This window comes from Homo sapiens, chromosome X (genome assembly GCF_000001405.40).
Source record: "Homo sapiens chromosome X, GRCh38.p14 Primary Assembly".
In the NCBI taxonomy this organism is placed as follows: domain Eukaryota; kingdom Metazoa; phylum Chordata; class Mammalia; order Primates; family Hominidae; genus Homo; species Homo sapiens.
In genome coordinates this window covers 74,883,361-74,900,199 of record NC_000023.11, presented here as the reverse complement: position 1 = coordinate 74,900,199, position 16,839 = coordinate 74,883,361, and the positions used below count along the sequence as shown (strand labels likewise).

Here is a 16,839-nt window from a genome sequence, read left to right as displayed (position 1 = left end):
AGCCACCGCGCCTGGCCCTGTTTTTTCAATAGTAGCCATCCTAATGGGTGTAAGGTGATATCTTATTGTGGTTTTGATGTACATTTCCCTAATAACTAGAGATGTTGAGTATCTGCTCTTGTGCTTATTTGCCATTCATATATCTTCTTTGGAGAAATGTCTATTTGACTCCTTTGCTCATTTTAAAACTTAGGGTGTTAGGTTTTTTGTTATTGAGTTATAGGAGCTCTTTATATATTCTAGATATTAATACTTTACCAGATATATGATTTGCAAGTATTTTCTTTCATTTTCTACATTGCCCTTTTACAATGTTATTTCACAATAATGTTGTTCAATGCACAGAAGTCTTAGACTTTTATATACTCCAATTTATCTATTTTTTCTTTGGCTGCCTGTGCTTTGTTCTTTCCCCCCAAGATTACTCTGGCTATTCAGGGTCTTTTGTGGTTCCATGTGAGTTTTAGGATTGTATTTTTCTATTTCTGTGAAAAATGTCATCAGAATTTTGGTAGGGATTGCATTAAATCTGTAGATCACTTTGGGTAGTATGGACATTTTAACAACATTAATTATTCTAATCCATGAACATGGGATATCTTCCTATTTATTTGTGTTTTCTTCCATTTGTTTCATCAGTGTATTATAGTTTTCCATGTACAGATCTTTCACCTCCTTGGTTAAATTTATTCTTAACTTATTTTATTGTTTTTGATGCTATCATAAACAGAATTGTTTTCTTAATTTCTTTCTTGGGTAGTCCATTATTAGTGTATAGGAATACAACTGGTTTTTGTATGTTGATTTTGTGTCCTGCAGCTTCACTGAATTCATTGATCAGTTCTAACAGTTTTTTTTGGGGGACGATCTTTAGGGTTTTGTATATATAAGATCATGTCATCAGCAAAGAGAGACAATTTAACTTCTTTCTTTCCTATTTGATGCCTTTTATTTCTTTCTTTTGCCTAATTTTTCTGGCTAGAACTTCCAGTACTATGTTGAAAAGAAGTAGTGAGAGTGGGCGTCCTTGTCTTGTTCCTGATTGTCGAGGAAAGTATTTCAGCTTTTCATTGATGAGTATGATGTTAGCTGTGGGCTTGTCATCATTGGGTTTTTGATAGGGATTGCATTACATTTGTAAGGTCTCTCTGGTGGTATTTACATCTTAACATTAAGTCTTCCAATCCATGAACGCAGGATGTCTTTCCATTTATTAGTGTCTTCTTTAATTTCTTTCATCAACATTTTGTACTTTTCTGTGTACAAGTCTTTCTTCTCCTTGATTAAGTTTATTCCTAAGTATTGTTTGTGATGGTACTATAAATGGAATTGATTTCTTCATTTCCTTTTCTGATTGTTTCTTGTTAGTTTATAGAAATGCAACTAATTTTTGATGCTGATTTTGTATCCTGCAACTTTGCTGAATTTGTTATTAGTTATAACAGTCTTTTGTGGAATCATTAGGATTTTTCCTATTTTTAAAAAATAGAACAGTTTATTTTAGAACAGTTTTACATTTACAGAATTATTTTAATGATAATAAAGAAAATTCCCACATACCCCACACCATCTTCTCCTATTATTAACATATTCCAAGAGTGTGGTACGTTTGTCACAATTAATGAACTGATATTGATATATTATAATTAACTAAAGTCTATACTTTATATTTCTTCAGTTTTCTTCTAATGTCCTTTTTCTGTTCTGAAATCCCATCCAGGATACCATATGACATTTAGCTATCACGTCTCCTTAGGCTCCTCTTGACTGTGACAGTTTCTCAGGCTTTCCTTGTTTTTGATGACCTTGATAGCTTTGAGGATTCATGGTGAGGTATTCTGTAGAATGTCCCTTAATTGGGATTCACCTGATGTTTTTCTCATGATTAGACTGGGGTAATGTGTTTTGAAGAAGACCACAGGAATAAAGTGCCCTTATCATTACATTGTATTAAGGATACATGCTATCAACACGACTTTAACACTGTTGATGTTGACTGTAATTATCTGGCTAAGGTAGTGTTTATCAGGATTCTCCAGGGTAAAGTTACATTTTTCTCATTTCCATAATGTACTCTCTGGAAATAATCACTTTGGGCAGTTCATACTTTAAGACTGGGGAGTTATGTGTCACCTCCTTGAGGATGGAGTATCCACCTACATTATTTGGAATTCTTGTGCACTGGAGATGTATCTGTTCCTGCTCATTTATTTATTTGTTCAATCATTTATTTATATAAGTATGTACACATGTATATCATGTATATTTATTTTAAACTTTGGATTATAGTCCAATACTGCTTTATTTTGTTTCTCAAATTGTTTCAGCTTTGGCCATTGGGAGCTTTTTTTGGTTGACTCCTGTGTCCCTTTGACATACCTTCACCATGTGGTTTAATTTGTTTTTTCTTTTGAGATTGATTTTTGTTTTGCCTTCTGCCATGAAAAACTTAAGCTCTCCAGCATGTGACAGCCCTTCAGATTTATAAAAACATCCACCATTACCCCCTCTAGTGTTCTCCAGACTAAACATTTCCCACTCATTCCTTTACACATTCCTCATGTGACAGATTTATTGACCCCTTACTCATCTAGCAGCTTTCTTCTGGAAACATTCCATTTTGTCAGTTACCTGAAATACCTCCTTTCACTCTCCTTACCCTCCACAACAATTATAAAATTTAAGAGAAATCAAAGGTAGTTCTTCTACTAGAAACTATGTATGATAGTAAATAGTACCCAGGCTGTGTCACTGAATGAAAAAAATTATCCCCATATTAGAATTAAGACCCTTAGAAATTAGAGGAGAAATATGTTTCCATTTTGTGCAGAGCTTACTATTTTTCAAAGCTATTTAGGAAACTATTAGTTTGACTCTCCTAACCCATGTGGGAGGTAGGTAGGGCAGTTAGTGGTATGCCCAGAAAGCCAAAGCCCAGAGAAGGTGCCTTATCCAAAGTCACCATATGAGTTAGACAGACTGGGTTCTCTTGACTCTTACTCCAGTAACCTTAAAATTAGGTTTAAACTTTAACTGTGTAGGCTAATTTTTGTTTGTCAGACCCTCAACCATTAATCAGAATTGCCAATACATTTTCTTTTGAGCCGAACTTAGCCTCCCAATATAATATGAGATATGAAAGGTAAGTCTGAAATGCAAACACTTAAGAAATGTTTCTAGAAATCAAAATCATTTTTGTATGCTAGTAGATATCAATTGGGTGATCAAGCCAGAACTTAGAAAGCATATGGTTAGCTTTGGGAACAGAAGTGTCAACAGAACAAAAATGAATATTTTCTAATTGTCCTTGCTTGCTGCGGATATTAGGCAGCTAGCTTTGTGTCTTTTTCAGCACTTATCAAATTCTAATGGAAAGGTGCTGAGGTGTGGCTAATCCCAAACAGTGTATAATCCCCAAATAATTTATACAGTAATATCCTGTCACACATACACACTCCAGTGCCCAGTCTCTGCTCTTCTATTTTGGAGGTTGCAGAGACTGCACTAGATTTGGCAGATGGCACCAGTTTTTATTCCTGGGCTGTCTCTGCTCATTCACACCCAGGGTAAGGAATTAGTGGGAGCCTTTTCATGTATTCCTTTATAAACTGAGCAGGAGAGAAAAGAAAGAGCTAGAAAACTTTTCTCTCTTACTACCTGACCACTCCTTCAATCTTAAAACCAGTTCGTGCAAACCAGAAATTGTAGTATGTACAGAATATTTCAAGTCACAACTTTCTGGGATGAATGGTTTCCATACCCAAAGAGCCTCCTGCCTTTAAGGAGTCATCAGTTGAAAAGAAACAGTCAGATATCTGTGGCATTACCTACTGGCCAGAGTGGGATGGAGAAAGTGGTCTGAAGTTTAGTTAGCAAATGTTGAATTTCAGGGTTGAGGAAGGGGAAGTATGGTATCTAGATAAGGAAGAAGGCAGCAAAGGGGCTGAGAGCTTTTCAACTTTGGTGACAAGGATGGGGAGGAGTAAGTGGGAACAGACACTATCCTTACTTGGAGAGTGGTGGTTGCTGAGGAGAAGGACTTATTGCTTTATATTGAATTTTAGCATTAATACTTTCTGGATCTCTGAGATGGAGAGTTGACAGAAGAACCTAGGAAGCATGACTAAGTGGTTGAATCTGCTATGGAAAAAGGGGAAACGGGGCAGGCTTTTACTTATTTGAACCTAGGTACTTTGTTTCTTTGCCACCTAAAAGTTCTGGGATGAACTGAATGAGGAATATGAATTGAGCAGATAAGATTCCTTTTACTGGAGAAAAACTAAGTCCTTTGGAAACTTGAACTTTTTTCTCATTCAAATTCATTTCTAGGCCTTATTCATTCATTCTATGTTTTTTTTTTTTTTTACACAGTAGCCACCGCCCCCGCTTCACACCCCTACCCCCTACCCTTCCCAGCCTCTGGTAACTATCCTTCTACTCTCTGTCTTCATGACTTCAATTGTTTTGATTTTTAAATCCCACAAATAAGTAAGAGCATGTGATGTTCTTGGCAACTTTGTGGAAAATGAGTTCACTGTAGGTGTGTGGAATTGTTTCTGGATTTTTTATTCTGTTCCATTGGTCTATGCACCTGTTTTTTATGCCAGTACCATGCTCTTTTAGTTACTATACCTCTGTAGTATAATTTAAAGTCAGGTAATGTGATTCCTCCAGTTTTGTTCTTTTTGCTTAGGAAGGTTTTGGCTATTCTGAGTCTTTTGTTGTTCCATATACATTTTAGGATTTTTTTCTATTTCTGTGAATAATGTCATTGATATTTTGATAGAGATTGCATTGAATCTGTAAATTGTTTGAGTAGTATGCACATTTTAACAATATTGATTCTTCCAACCCACAAACATGGAATATCTTTCCATTTTTTGGTGTCCTTTTCAATTTCTCTTATCAGTGCTTTATATTTTTCATTGTAGAGAACTTTCACTTATTTGGTTAATTCCTAGGTATTTAACTTTATTTGTGGCTGTTGTAATTGGGACTACTTTTTGATTTCTTTTTCAGATTGTTCACTGTTGGCATATAGAAATGCTATTGTTTTTTGTATGTTGATTTTGTCTCCTGAAACATCACCGAATTTGTTTACTATTTCTAACAGTTTTCTATTGGTTTTTCCAAATATAAGATGATATCATATGCAAACAAGGATAATTTGACTTCTTCCTTTCCAATTTGGATGCCCTTTCTATCTTTCTCTTGTCTGATTGCTCTAGCTAGGGCTGCCAGTACTATGTTGAATAACAGTGATGACAGTGGGCATCCTTGTAGTGTTCCAGATCTTAGAGGAAAGGCTTTCTGTTTCTCCCAATTCAGTGTGATACTAGCTGTGTGTCTGTCATAGATGGCTTTTATTATGTTGAGGTATGTTCCTTCTTTGAGGGTTTTTATTATGAAGGAATGTTGAATTTTATCAAATGCTTTTTCAGCATAGATTGATATGATCATATTGTTTTTATCCTTTATTTTGTTGATATGATGTATCACATTGATTGATTTGTGAGTGTTGGACCATCCTTGCATCCCAGGGATAAATCCCACTTGGTCATGATAAATGATCTTTCTAATGTATTGTTGAATTTGGTTTGCTAGTATTTTGTTGAGGATTTCTGAATCAATATTTATCAGAGATATTGGCCTGTAGTTTTCTTTTTTTGATGTGATTTTGTCTGGTTTCAGTATCAGGGTATTACTGACCTCATAGAATAAGTTTGGAAGTATTCCTTCCTCCTTTATTTTTTGGCATAGTCTGAGTAAGATTGATAATAGTTGCTTATAGTAGCTACTAATGATCCTTTGGATTTCTGAAGTATCAGTTGTAATGCCGTCTTTTTCAGTTCTGATTGTATTTCTTTGGCTCTTCTCTCTTTTTAATTTATTTTATTTTATTTTTTGACAGAATCTCGCTCTGCCACCCAGGCTGGAGTGCAGTGCTGTGATTGGCTCACTGCAGCCTCCGCCTGCCAGGCTCAAGTGATCCTCTCCCTCAGCCTCCTAAGTAACTGGGACTACAGGTGCGTGCCACCATGCCCAGATATATTTTTTTTTTTGTACTTTTAGTAGAGAAGGGTTTTCACTCTGTGGCCCAGGCTGGTCTTGAACTCCTGGACTCAAGTGATCTGCCTGCCTTAGCCTCCCAAAGTTCTGGGATTTCAAGCGTGAGCCACCATAGCCTGGCTCTTTTTATCTCAGTTAGTCTGGCTAATGGTTTGTCTATTTTGCTTAATTTTTCAAAAAGTCAACTGTTTTGGAAACTGGAACTTTTTAATTCTCCCTCACCCACAAAAGGATTATTCATTGTAAATTGAATTAACATACTCTTCCCTAGATGGGGTATCTCAGTTAATGGGAAAGCCAGGTCATGACTCCAGGTCCAAATGGCCCTGTCTGATCCTGGTGGTTGGGCAGCTTTGCATAAATTTAGGATGCTATAATTTCTGCAAAGCGTCTTATGATTCCAATATTAGACTTTCAGAAAAACCTTCCACATCATCCATGCACTGTGTGTACATGTGTGCTGAATATTTTTAAAATCTTACAACTTGCCTAAATAGAGTTTTTCCATCTCCATCTTGGGTGCTTAATCACCTCATCTTCTTTTATCTCTTCTTTCTCTCCTATGTTTGTTGAGGAAACAAGATTAAATATAACAATTTTTACATTGCACACAAAATAAAATGGCTTGTTTAGCTGTGACTTTAAGGCCACGCATGAGACAGTCTGTACAGGACTTACCTCCCTCATCAGAGGAACCCTTTGAGTCTTTAAAAAAGGTGAGGATGAAAAACAAGAAAACTCTTTTAGATTTTCAGCTCTCCATTTGCTCTGCAGCATGAGAACTAAGAAGCAGGTGGCAAAGATAGACAGTAAACTAGAAGGAAACAAAACAAGGTCATTTTCCTCCTTGTACCTTAGCTTCTTGAATGATAATTTAAGATACCTTCAATTTTCTGTTATCTGAAGTAGTCTGCTTTATGGATTACTTAGACTCTTGTTTCTTCATCCTTTAACTGTTTGGTGTCACTTCTTCCAAAGCTTTTTAAAATATATTTTCTGATTCTACTGGAAGAGCAGTCATAGGGTGTAGGCATGTAGGAGGAAACAAAATTATAGGGACAGAAATCAGTCTATTTTCTAGTACTTTAATTCCTTAAGACCTAAGTCAGTATCCTTATTTTTAAAAACTACTGTCTAGCTCCCCATCCTTGCCCATTTCTTTTTCTATACATACATATTCTCTCTCTCTCCATCCTTTCCTTCTCAGCAAGTCTGGTAGACAGACTAGTCTGATGCCTCAAAAATACTCTAATTCGTAGAAAGAAAGTAAATTCTGCCTCTGACGTTCCATTCCCCCTGTGGTTTTAATTAGGGTAAATTCTCCTATGCTCACTTTGAAACATGCCTTGGGATCTTAGGGAGATGGCAGGCAGATGGCGTATTAATGCAGGGTGATGTTTCTCACTTCATGGTGCCCATGCAACATTTATTGTCATTAAAATAGTGTCATTCAAATGAGGTGGCTGATGTTGGAAAATGAATGCAAAGTTGATCATTGTTCTGTGGATCTGAGCTTTGATGAAGAAATTGAATTAGAGGCAGCATTTCAACTCTGTTTAAGTAATAAGTATATATGTATCTATAACTCAGTAGTGAAACCTTTCAGACTGACAGGAGGGCAAAGCCTCTAAGACTATATTAGGGTTTACGGGTATAAAAATACGTGCCTCTCCTGCTTTACCAGGCTGTGGGGAGAATGAGGAAAATAATATCTGTAAAGTGACCTGAGCACCCAGAAAGAAAAATTTAGATGTTTTATTAGACCTACGCAAGATCTTTGGTTAGTTCCCCAGAGCCCTGTAAAGTCTTGGAAGCCCTGTAACAAATTTCTCTTTTCCCTTGTCAGGTTTTTGTTTTCCCCTGGTGCCCAGGTTAAAGAGAAATTGATTTCTTTCCATCTTGTGTTTAGCTTTTGTCCCTCTGCATTGAGGCTTTGAATTGAGAATATTTCTTTGGGTCTGTAGGGCTGTCCAATGATAGTTAGGCTTAAACATTAAACAACCTTACAGAACTAATTAGGCTTTATTGCCTGTGGCCAAGTCAACGAATTTTGCTTCATAGAATTTCTGAGAGAAAAAAAAATACATATTTAGGACTTGGTAAAACTTTTCTTAAAATGTCTCCTTGTAAATGCCAGCGTTGCTGACCCTGTGCAAATATTTTGTAATAGCCCGGCTTGAGAACATCCCCCACATTTCTCTGTTGTATTCTTTATGACTTCCCTCCAGGTTGAGCTGTGAAAGGGTGAGGGGAAAGGAGCCATGTCGGAGAAGTAGAAGAGACTGAATCAAATGTTTAGAGAACATAGCTTGATTAATTCAAAACTGAAGCCCTGGCCTCTCTAGTCTCATGTTCCACAGCAATAATTTCTCCTTGGCCAGAAGCCTAAGCATCTGTGTCCAAATCTCATACTCTTTCCTAAATGGATTCATCAAGTCAGACCTTGAGTTGCTTGGTTTTTTCTGAACCACCCCCTAATTTAAGTTAAACTTAAAAATGGGAGCCATTAAATAGCAAAACAAACAAATACAACAATAATAACAGGACATTATGTCCTGGCCCTCAGAGGTCAATTTAATGTGATTAGCAGCATAAAACTTCACAACGCCTTTCACTGGAAGATTACCAGAAGCAACATCATTCAGTATGTTGCCATGCACTGCCATTCTTTCACTTTGGCATTATTTATTGATTGTAGCAGAAACACAATATTTGTACCTCTTAAGCATTTTAGTTTCCTTTAGGCTTTTCTCTAGTAAATGTGGAACTGCATCATTTTGTTAAACTGTTCTGAAGTCTAAAAAAAAAAAAAAACCCTCCTGAATATTGTTTACATCCCTGGTTACAAAGGCCAGTACTGAGGCGGAGCTGCTCTGCCTGCTTTGATTCTTATCAAGGGCAACACTGTATGTGTGCATATGTATGTGTGTGTGTTCACACAGGAGAGGGTAGTAAGTGGAGCAAGAGTTTTAAGGAAGGAGCGGGGCTGGAAGGAAAAAAACTTTCAATGAATTGAAACTGCATAATGAAAAGATTCTGAAATTTAATTACAAAAATGGCTCTGTTTTTTCTCTCACCTCCTCCTCGCTCCCTTTTCTCCTCTCCATCCTCTCCAAAAGCACTGAAGTAAAATGAGACTGTCAGATCAAAGCCACACACCCACTCTAGGTCTGTTTTGAGAAAGGGATTTTTTTCTCCCCTTATTTACTTTGTAGCAGTGGCAGCATGTCTACTGCAGGATGCAGTGACAGTGTGGAGCCTTGTCACTGTTCTGCTTGATCTCCTCCCGTGTGCCACTCCCTGGTCTGGTGAGCAGGGTCAAAGTTTCAAATGATGACTGTGGCCACAGTTCTCACCATCTCTTGTGTTTTCACACTTGGCCATTCAGTATTTAGGCATTGTCCCTCTGACATATGGCCTGAAAGAGTTGAAGATTAAGTTTCCAAGTTTGGAAATGCCCAAGCGTAGCCATGGAGGGTGTATTTGTCCCATGTGGCTGCGGGTTCTGTTGAGTATTTTTGCAAAAATATTAAAATGTCTACTTAGGATTTAAGAATATGTTTGATGATATGTACATAATTCATAGCGCATTTTAGGGCACACCTGCATTATTTAATATTGGAGTTTCTCTTTTTAAGTTTTTTTATTTTTGTCTAGGACTCTTTAGAGTGCCTGTGCCTGGGTTCCTTAATATTCTTTCAGACCAGTTGTCAATTTCCAAGTGCCTTAAAATAGAGCTATTGGGTTTTCTTGGCCTTTTCTGGCCCTCATTCTCTTCTAGTTCATGATTTTTCCTCAAAATAAAGTTGTACCTAATTAATAAAGGTATATAGGTATTCAGTTTTAATACTGTCTATAAAGTATGACTCATACTTTCTCTATTAGGAACATCTTTGTTACATTGAATGCATATCTCTCCTGTAGTTGGTTGAGAGAAACATGTAGGTCTAGGATCAAAGTCCTAGAACAGGATCAGAGTCACTGGAAATGCAACCAAAATGGGGATAGAGGCTCATGGGACAAGAACTGGAATGTGTGTTGTATTGAGCTACAGGGAGAAGGAAGAAACTAAGTACCGATTTGGTAGAGAGAAAGAGGGGCAGAGAGAGAGAGAGAGAGAGGGAGAGAGAGAAAGAGAATGAGAGAGAATGAGAGAGAGAGAGAGAGAGAGAGAGAGACAGATTAGGTTAGGATTAGGTTAGGAAGAACCTTGAAACATCAGACAAAAAGAAGAAAACTAAAGCAGACTGAAGAGCAGTGTGTCTTTGATTATGGCTATTCACCAAACCATTCTTATTGCTCTTTCTGTTATTATTAAGCTATCTCTGAGATGTACACAGTGTATATCTCAGTGCACAACAGACCTACCAGTGTAGATCTTTTAACTCATTCCTTTAATGAATTTTTATCACTTTCACAGTCCTTATTAGCTCTCTTTTTAATGGTTTTTTTGGAGCCCATAACTAGATATGCCACCTCAGGAAGAATTTTATCAGTGCTCTGGGAAGATGGATTTACTATTTTGAGTTGTATTTGTACACCATGCAACCATGAACCACTTAGAAACCACCTTAGTGACTCATACTTTCTTTATGGTCCATTCTGATTCTGAAATCCTTTGAGTGTTACATTTCTCAATCTGATTTTAACAAGGATTAAAATAAATAAGTAAATAAATAAAAAGTTTTCTAAGGTTTGCGAAACACTATTACTGAAATTTAGAGGACTTGAGGCCTTTAAATCAAACAATATTTTCATTATAATTTGCCTTTCCATCCCCATTTGGTCTTGCCACATCTATGCTGCGACAAAAGAAAACCTTTAGTACCTAATATCGGTACTTGGTGTTCATTCATCTCACTGTGGTTTTCACTTTCAAAGCACAATACATTGCTTCCCCATCCCATTCCTTTTGTTTCTACCATTCTACTTTGGCCTTGGAAATTAAATATTGCATCCTGTCCCTCACAGCTTATTTCTGCCTCTCAATTTTGCAGATCTGGGCATTAACGGAAATAATAAGCACTTTATAATTTTATAGTGCTTTATAATTTTCAAGGTATTTTCACATCCATTGTCTTGAGTGATCCTCTCCACACCTCACTATATAAGCAGGGCATGGATTATTACCCCATTCTAGCTCAAGGCCATATAGCTAACTAAGGGAAGAACCAATAAAGTTTCTAGATGAATTTGTTTCACTACACTTCTTCCACCATCAGTTCCATGGCCAAATTTTTTTCCTGCTACTTTTTGAAAACTGAGTATATATAGGAATTTTCTTTTTGGTATATAAATTTTGGGAACAATGAACTATTCGTCTAGGTGAGTAAAAGTGTATGTCTGCATCCATTTGTTTATGTGAATAATATGTGTTCGCTAAAACTTGAAAATGTTTGACATCATTCTTTTTGTTTGTTTGTTTTCTTTAGTTTTTTTATTGTACTTTAGATTCTGGGATACATGTGCAGAGGGTGCAGGTTTGTTACATAGGTATACACGTGCCATGATGGTTTGCTGCACCCATCAACTCGTCATCTACATTAGGTATTTCTCCTAATGCTATCCCTCCCCTAGCCCCTCACCCCTCAACATGCCCCGGTGTGTGATGTTCCCCTCCCTGTGTCCATGTTTTCTCATTGTTCAACTCCCACTTATGAGTGAGAACATGCAGTGTTTGGTTTTCTGTTCCTGTGTTAGTTTTCTGAGAATGATGTTTTCCAGCTTCATCCATGTCCCTGCAAGGGACATGAACTCATCCTTTTTTATAGCTGCATAGCATTCCATGGTGTATATGTGCCACATTTTCTTTTTTTTTTTGTTTGTTTGTTTATTATTATTATTATACTTTAAGTTTTAGGGTACATGTGCACAACGTGAAGGTTTGTTACATATGTATACATGTGCCATGTTTGTGTGCTGCACCCATTAAATCCTCATTTAGCATTAGGTATATCTCCTACTGCTATCCTTCCCCCCTGCCCCCACCCCACAACAGTCCCAGGTGTGTGATGTTCCCCTTCCTGTGTCCATGTGTTCTCATTCTTCAGTTCCCACCTATGAGTGAGAACATGCCGTGTTTGGTTTTTTGTCCTTGTGATAGTTTGCTGAGAATGATGGTTTCATCCATGTCCCTACAAAGGACATGAACTCATCCTTTTTTATAGCTGCATAGTATTCCATGGTGTATATGTGCCACATTTTCTTAATCCAGTCTACCATTGTTGGACATTTGGGTTGGTTCCAAGTCTTTGCTATTGTGAATAGTGCCGCAATAAACATATGTGTGCATGTGTCTTTATAGCAGCATGATTTATAATCCTTTGGGTATATACCCAGTAATGGGATGGCTGGGTCAATGGTGTTTCTAGTTCTAGATCCCTGAGGAATCACCACACCGACTTCCACAATGGTTGAACTAGTTTACAGTCCCACCAACAGTGTAAAAGTGTTCCTATTTCTCCACATCCTCTCCAGCACCTGTTGTTTCCTGACTTTTTAATGATTGCCATTCTAACTGGTGTGAGATGGTATCTCATTGTGGTTTTGATTTGCATTTCTCTGATGGCCAGTGATGATGAGCATTTCTTCATGTGTTTTTTGGCTGAATAAATGTCTTCTTTTGAGAAGTGTCTGTTAATATCCTTCGCCCACTTTTTGATGGGGTTGTTTGTTTTTTTCTTGTAAATTTGAGTTCATTGTAGATTCTGGATATTAGCCCTTTGTCAGATGAGTAGGTTGCAAAAATTTTCTCCCATTCTGTAGGTTGCCTGTTCACTCTGATGGTGGTTTCTTTTGCTGTGCAGAAGCTCTTTAGTTTAATTAGATCCCATTTGTCAATTTTGGCTTTTGCTGCCATTGCTTTTGGTGTTTTCGACATGAAGTCCTTGCCCATGCCTATGTCCTGAATGGTAATGCCTAGGTTTTCTTCTAGGGTTTTTATGGTTTTAGGTCTAACCTGTAAGTCTTTAATCCATCTTGAATTAATTTTTGTATAAGGTGTAAGGAAGGGATCCAGTTTCAGCTTTCTACATCTGGCTAGCCAGTTTTTCCAGCACCATTTATTAAATAGGGAATCCTTTCCCCATTGCTTGTTTTTGTCAGCTTTGTCAAAGATCAGATAGTTGTACATACGCGGCATTATTTCTGAGGGCTCTGTTCTGTTCCATTGGTCTATATCTCTGTTTTGGTACCAGTACCATGCTGTTTTGGTTACTGTAGCCTTGTAGTATAGTTTGAAGTCAGGTAGCGTGATGCCTCCAGCTTTGTTCTTTTGGCTTAGGATTGACTTGGTGATGTGGGCTCTTTTTTGGTTCCATATGAACTTTAAAGTAGTTTTTTCCAATTCTGTGAAGAAAGTCATTGGTAGCTTGATGGGGATGGCATTGAATCTGTAAATTACCTTGGGCAGTATGGCCATTGTCATGATATTGATTCTTCCTACCCATGAGCATGGAATGTTCTTCCATTTGTTTGTATCCTCTTTTATTTCCTTGAGCAGTGGTTTGTAGTTCTCCTTGAAGAGGTCCTTCACATCCCTTGTAAGTTGGATTCCTAGGTATTTCATTTTCTTTGAAGCAATTGTGAATGGGATTTCACTCATGATTTGGCTCTCTGTTTGTCTGTTTTTGGTGTATAAGAATGCTTGTGATTTTTGTACATTGATTTTCTATCCTGAGACTTTGCTGAAGTAGCTTATCAGCTTGAGGAGATTTTGGGCTGAGACGATGGGGTTTTCCAGATATGCAATCATGTCATCTGCAAACAGGGACAATTTGACTTCCTCTTTTCCTAATTGAATACCCTTTATTTCCTTCTCCTGCCTCATTGCCCTAGCCAGAACTTCCAACACTATGTTGAATAGGAGTGGTGAGAGAGGGCATCCCTGTCTTGTGCCAGTTTTCAAAGGGAATGCTTCCAGTTTTTGTCCATTCAGTATGATATTGGCTGTGGGTTTGTCATAGATAGCTCTTATTATCTTGAGATACGTCCCATCAATACCTAATTTATTGAGAGTTTTTAGCATGAAAGGCTGTTGAATTTTGTCAAAGGCCTTTTCTGCATCTATTGAGATAACCATGTGGTTTTTGTCATTGGTTCTGTTTATATGCTGGATTATGTTTATTGATTTGCATATGTTGAACCAGCCTTGCATCCCAGGGATGAAGCACACTTGATCATGGTGGGTAAGCTTTTTGATGTGTTGCTGGATTTGGTTTTCCAGTATTTCATTGAGGATTTTTGCATCAATGTTCATCAAGGATATTGGTCTAAAATTCTCTTTTTTTGTTGTGTCTCTGCCCGGCTTTGGTATCAGGATGATGCTGGCCTCATAAAATGAGTTAGGGAGGATTCCCTCTTTTTCTATTGATTGGAATAGTTTCAGAATGAATGGTACCAGCTCCTCCTTGTACCTCTGGTAGAATTCAGCTGTGAATCCGTCTGGTCCCTGGACTTTTTTTGGTTGGTAAGCTATTAATTATTGCCACAATTTCAGATCCTGTTATTGGTCTATTCAGAGATTCAACTTCTTCCTGGTTTAGTCTTGGGAGGGTGTATGTGTCGAGGAATTTATCCATTTCTTCTAGATTTTCTAGTTTATTTGCGTAGAGGTGTTTATAGTATTCTCTGATGGTAGTTTGTATTTCTGTGGGATCAGTGGTGATATCCCCTTTGTCATTTTTTATTGCGTCTATTTGATTCTTCTCCCTTTTCTTCTTTATTATTCTTGCTAGCGGTCTATCAATTTTGTTGATCTTTTCAAAAAACCAGCTCCAGGGTTCACTGATTTTTTGAAGGGTTTTTTGTGTCTCTATTTCCTTCAGTTCTGCTCTGATCTTAGTTATTTCTTGCTTTCTGCTAGCTTTTGAATTTTTTTGCTGTTGCTTCTCTAGTTCTTTTAATTGTGATGCTAGAGTGTCAATTTCAGATCTTTCCTGCTTTCTCTTGTGGGCATTTAGTGCTATAAATTTCCCTCTACACACTGCTTTGAATGTGTCCCAGAGATTCTGGTATGTTGTGTCTTTGTTCTCGTTGGTTTCAAAGAACATCTTTATTTCTGCCTTCATTTCATTATGTACCCAGTAGTCATTCAGGAGCAGGTTGTTCAGTTTCCATGTAGTTGAGTGGTTTTGAGTGAGTTTCTTAATCCTGAGTTCTAGTTTGATTGCACTGTGGTCTGAGAGACAGTTTGTTATAATTTCTGTTCTTTTACATTTGCTGAGGACTGCTTTACTTCCAAGAATGTGGTCAGTTTTGGAATAGGTGTGGTGTGGTGCTGAAAAGAATGTATATTCTGTTGATTTGGGGTGGGGAATTCTGTAGATGTCTATTAGGCCCGCTTGGTGCAGAGCTGAGTTCAATTCCTGGATATCCTTGTTAACTCTCTGTCACATTGATTTGTCTAATGTTGACAGTGGGGTGTTAAAATCTCCCATTATTATTGTGTGGGAGTCTAAGTCACTTTGTAGGCCACTAAGGACTTGCTTTATGAATCTGGGTGCTCCTGTATTGTGCGCATATATATTTAGGATAGTTAGTTCTTCTTGTTGAATTGATTCCTTTACCATTATATAATGGCCTGCTTTGTCTCTTTTGATCTTTGTTGGTTTAAAGTTTGTTTTATCAGAGACTAGGATTGCAACCCCTGCCTTTTTTTGTTTTCCATTTGCTTGGTAGATCTTCCTCCATCCCTTTATTTTGAGCCTATGTGTGTCTCTGCACGTGAGATGGGTTTCCTGAATACAGCACACTGATGGGTCTTGACTCTTTATCCAATTTGCCAGTCTGTTCCTTTTAATTGGAGCATTTAGCCCATTTACATTTAAGGTTAGTATTGTTATGTATGAATTTGATCCTGTCACTATGATGTTAGCTGGTTATTTTGCTCATTAGTTGATGCAGTTTCTTCCTAGCCTGGGTGGTCTTTACAATTTGGCATGTGTTTGCAGTGGCTGGTACTGGTTGTTCCTTTCCATGTTTAGTGCTTCCTTCAGGAGCTTTTTAGGGCAGGCCTGGTGGTTACAAAATCTCTCAGCATTTGCTTGTCTGTAAAGAATTTTATTTCTCCTTCACTTATGAAGCTTAGTTTGGCTGGATATGAAATTCTGGGTTGAAAATTCTTTTCTTTAAGAATGTTGAATATTGGCCCCCACTCTCTTCTGGCTTGTAGATTTTCTGCAGAGAGATCCGCTGTTAGTCTGATGGGCTTCCCTTTGTGGGTAACCCAACCTTTCTCTCTGGCTGCCCTTAACATTTTTTCCTTCATTTCAACTTTGGTGAATCTGACAATTATGTGTCTTGGAGTTGCTCTTCTTGAGGAGTATCTTTGTGGCGTTCTCTGTATTTCCTGTATTTGAATGTTGGCCTGCTTTGCTAGATTGGGGAAGTTCTCCTGGAGAATATCCTGCAGAGTGTTTTCCAGCTTGGTTCCATTCTGCCCGTCACTTTCAGATACACCAATTAGACGTAGATTTGGTCTTTTCACATAGTCCCATATTTCTTGGAGGCTTTGTTTGTTTCTTTTTATTCTTTTTTCTCTAAACTTCTCTTCACACTTCATTTCATTCATTTCGTCTTCCATCGCTGATACCCTTTCTTTCAGTTGATTGCATTGGTCACTGAGGCTTGTGCATTCGTCACGTAATTCTCATGCCATGGTTTTCATCTCCATCAGGTCCTTTAAGGTCTTCTCTCCATTGGTTTTTCTAGTTATCCATTCATCTAATTTTTTTTCAAAGTTTTTAACTTCTTTGCCATTGGTTCGAACTT

At 37.6% G+C, this 16,839-nt stretch overlaps 1 protein-coding gene across 1 annotated transcript in view, besides 1 other annotated feature; it reads left to right on the top strand.

The window, feature by feature from the left end:
• NEXMIF (neurite extension and migration factor) overlaps window positions 1-16,839 on the top strand; it is a 192,597-nt gene that overhangs the window by 25,253 nt on the left and 150,505 nt on the right. The gene's annotated exons all lie outside the window — the stretch shown is intronic.
• Window positions 9,376-9,505: a silencer, noted in NCBI's record as "silent region_20906". NCBI's record gives its function as "represses an Ori minimal core promoter by ATAC-STARR-seq in GM12878 lymphoblastoid cells {active_cell/tissue: GM12878}" and the evidence as "EXISTENCE:reporter gene assay evidence [ECO:0000049][PMID:35858748]".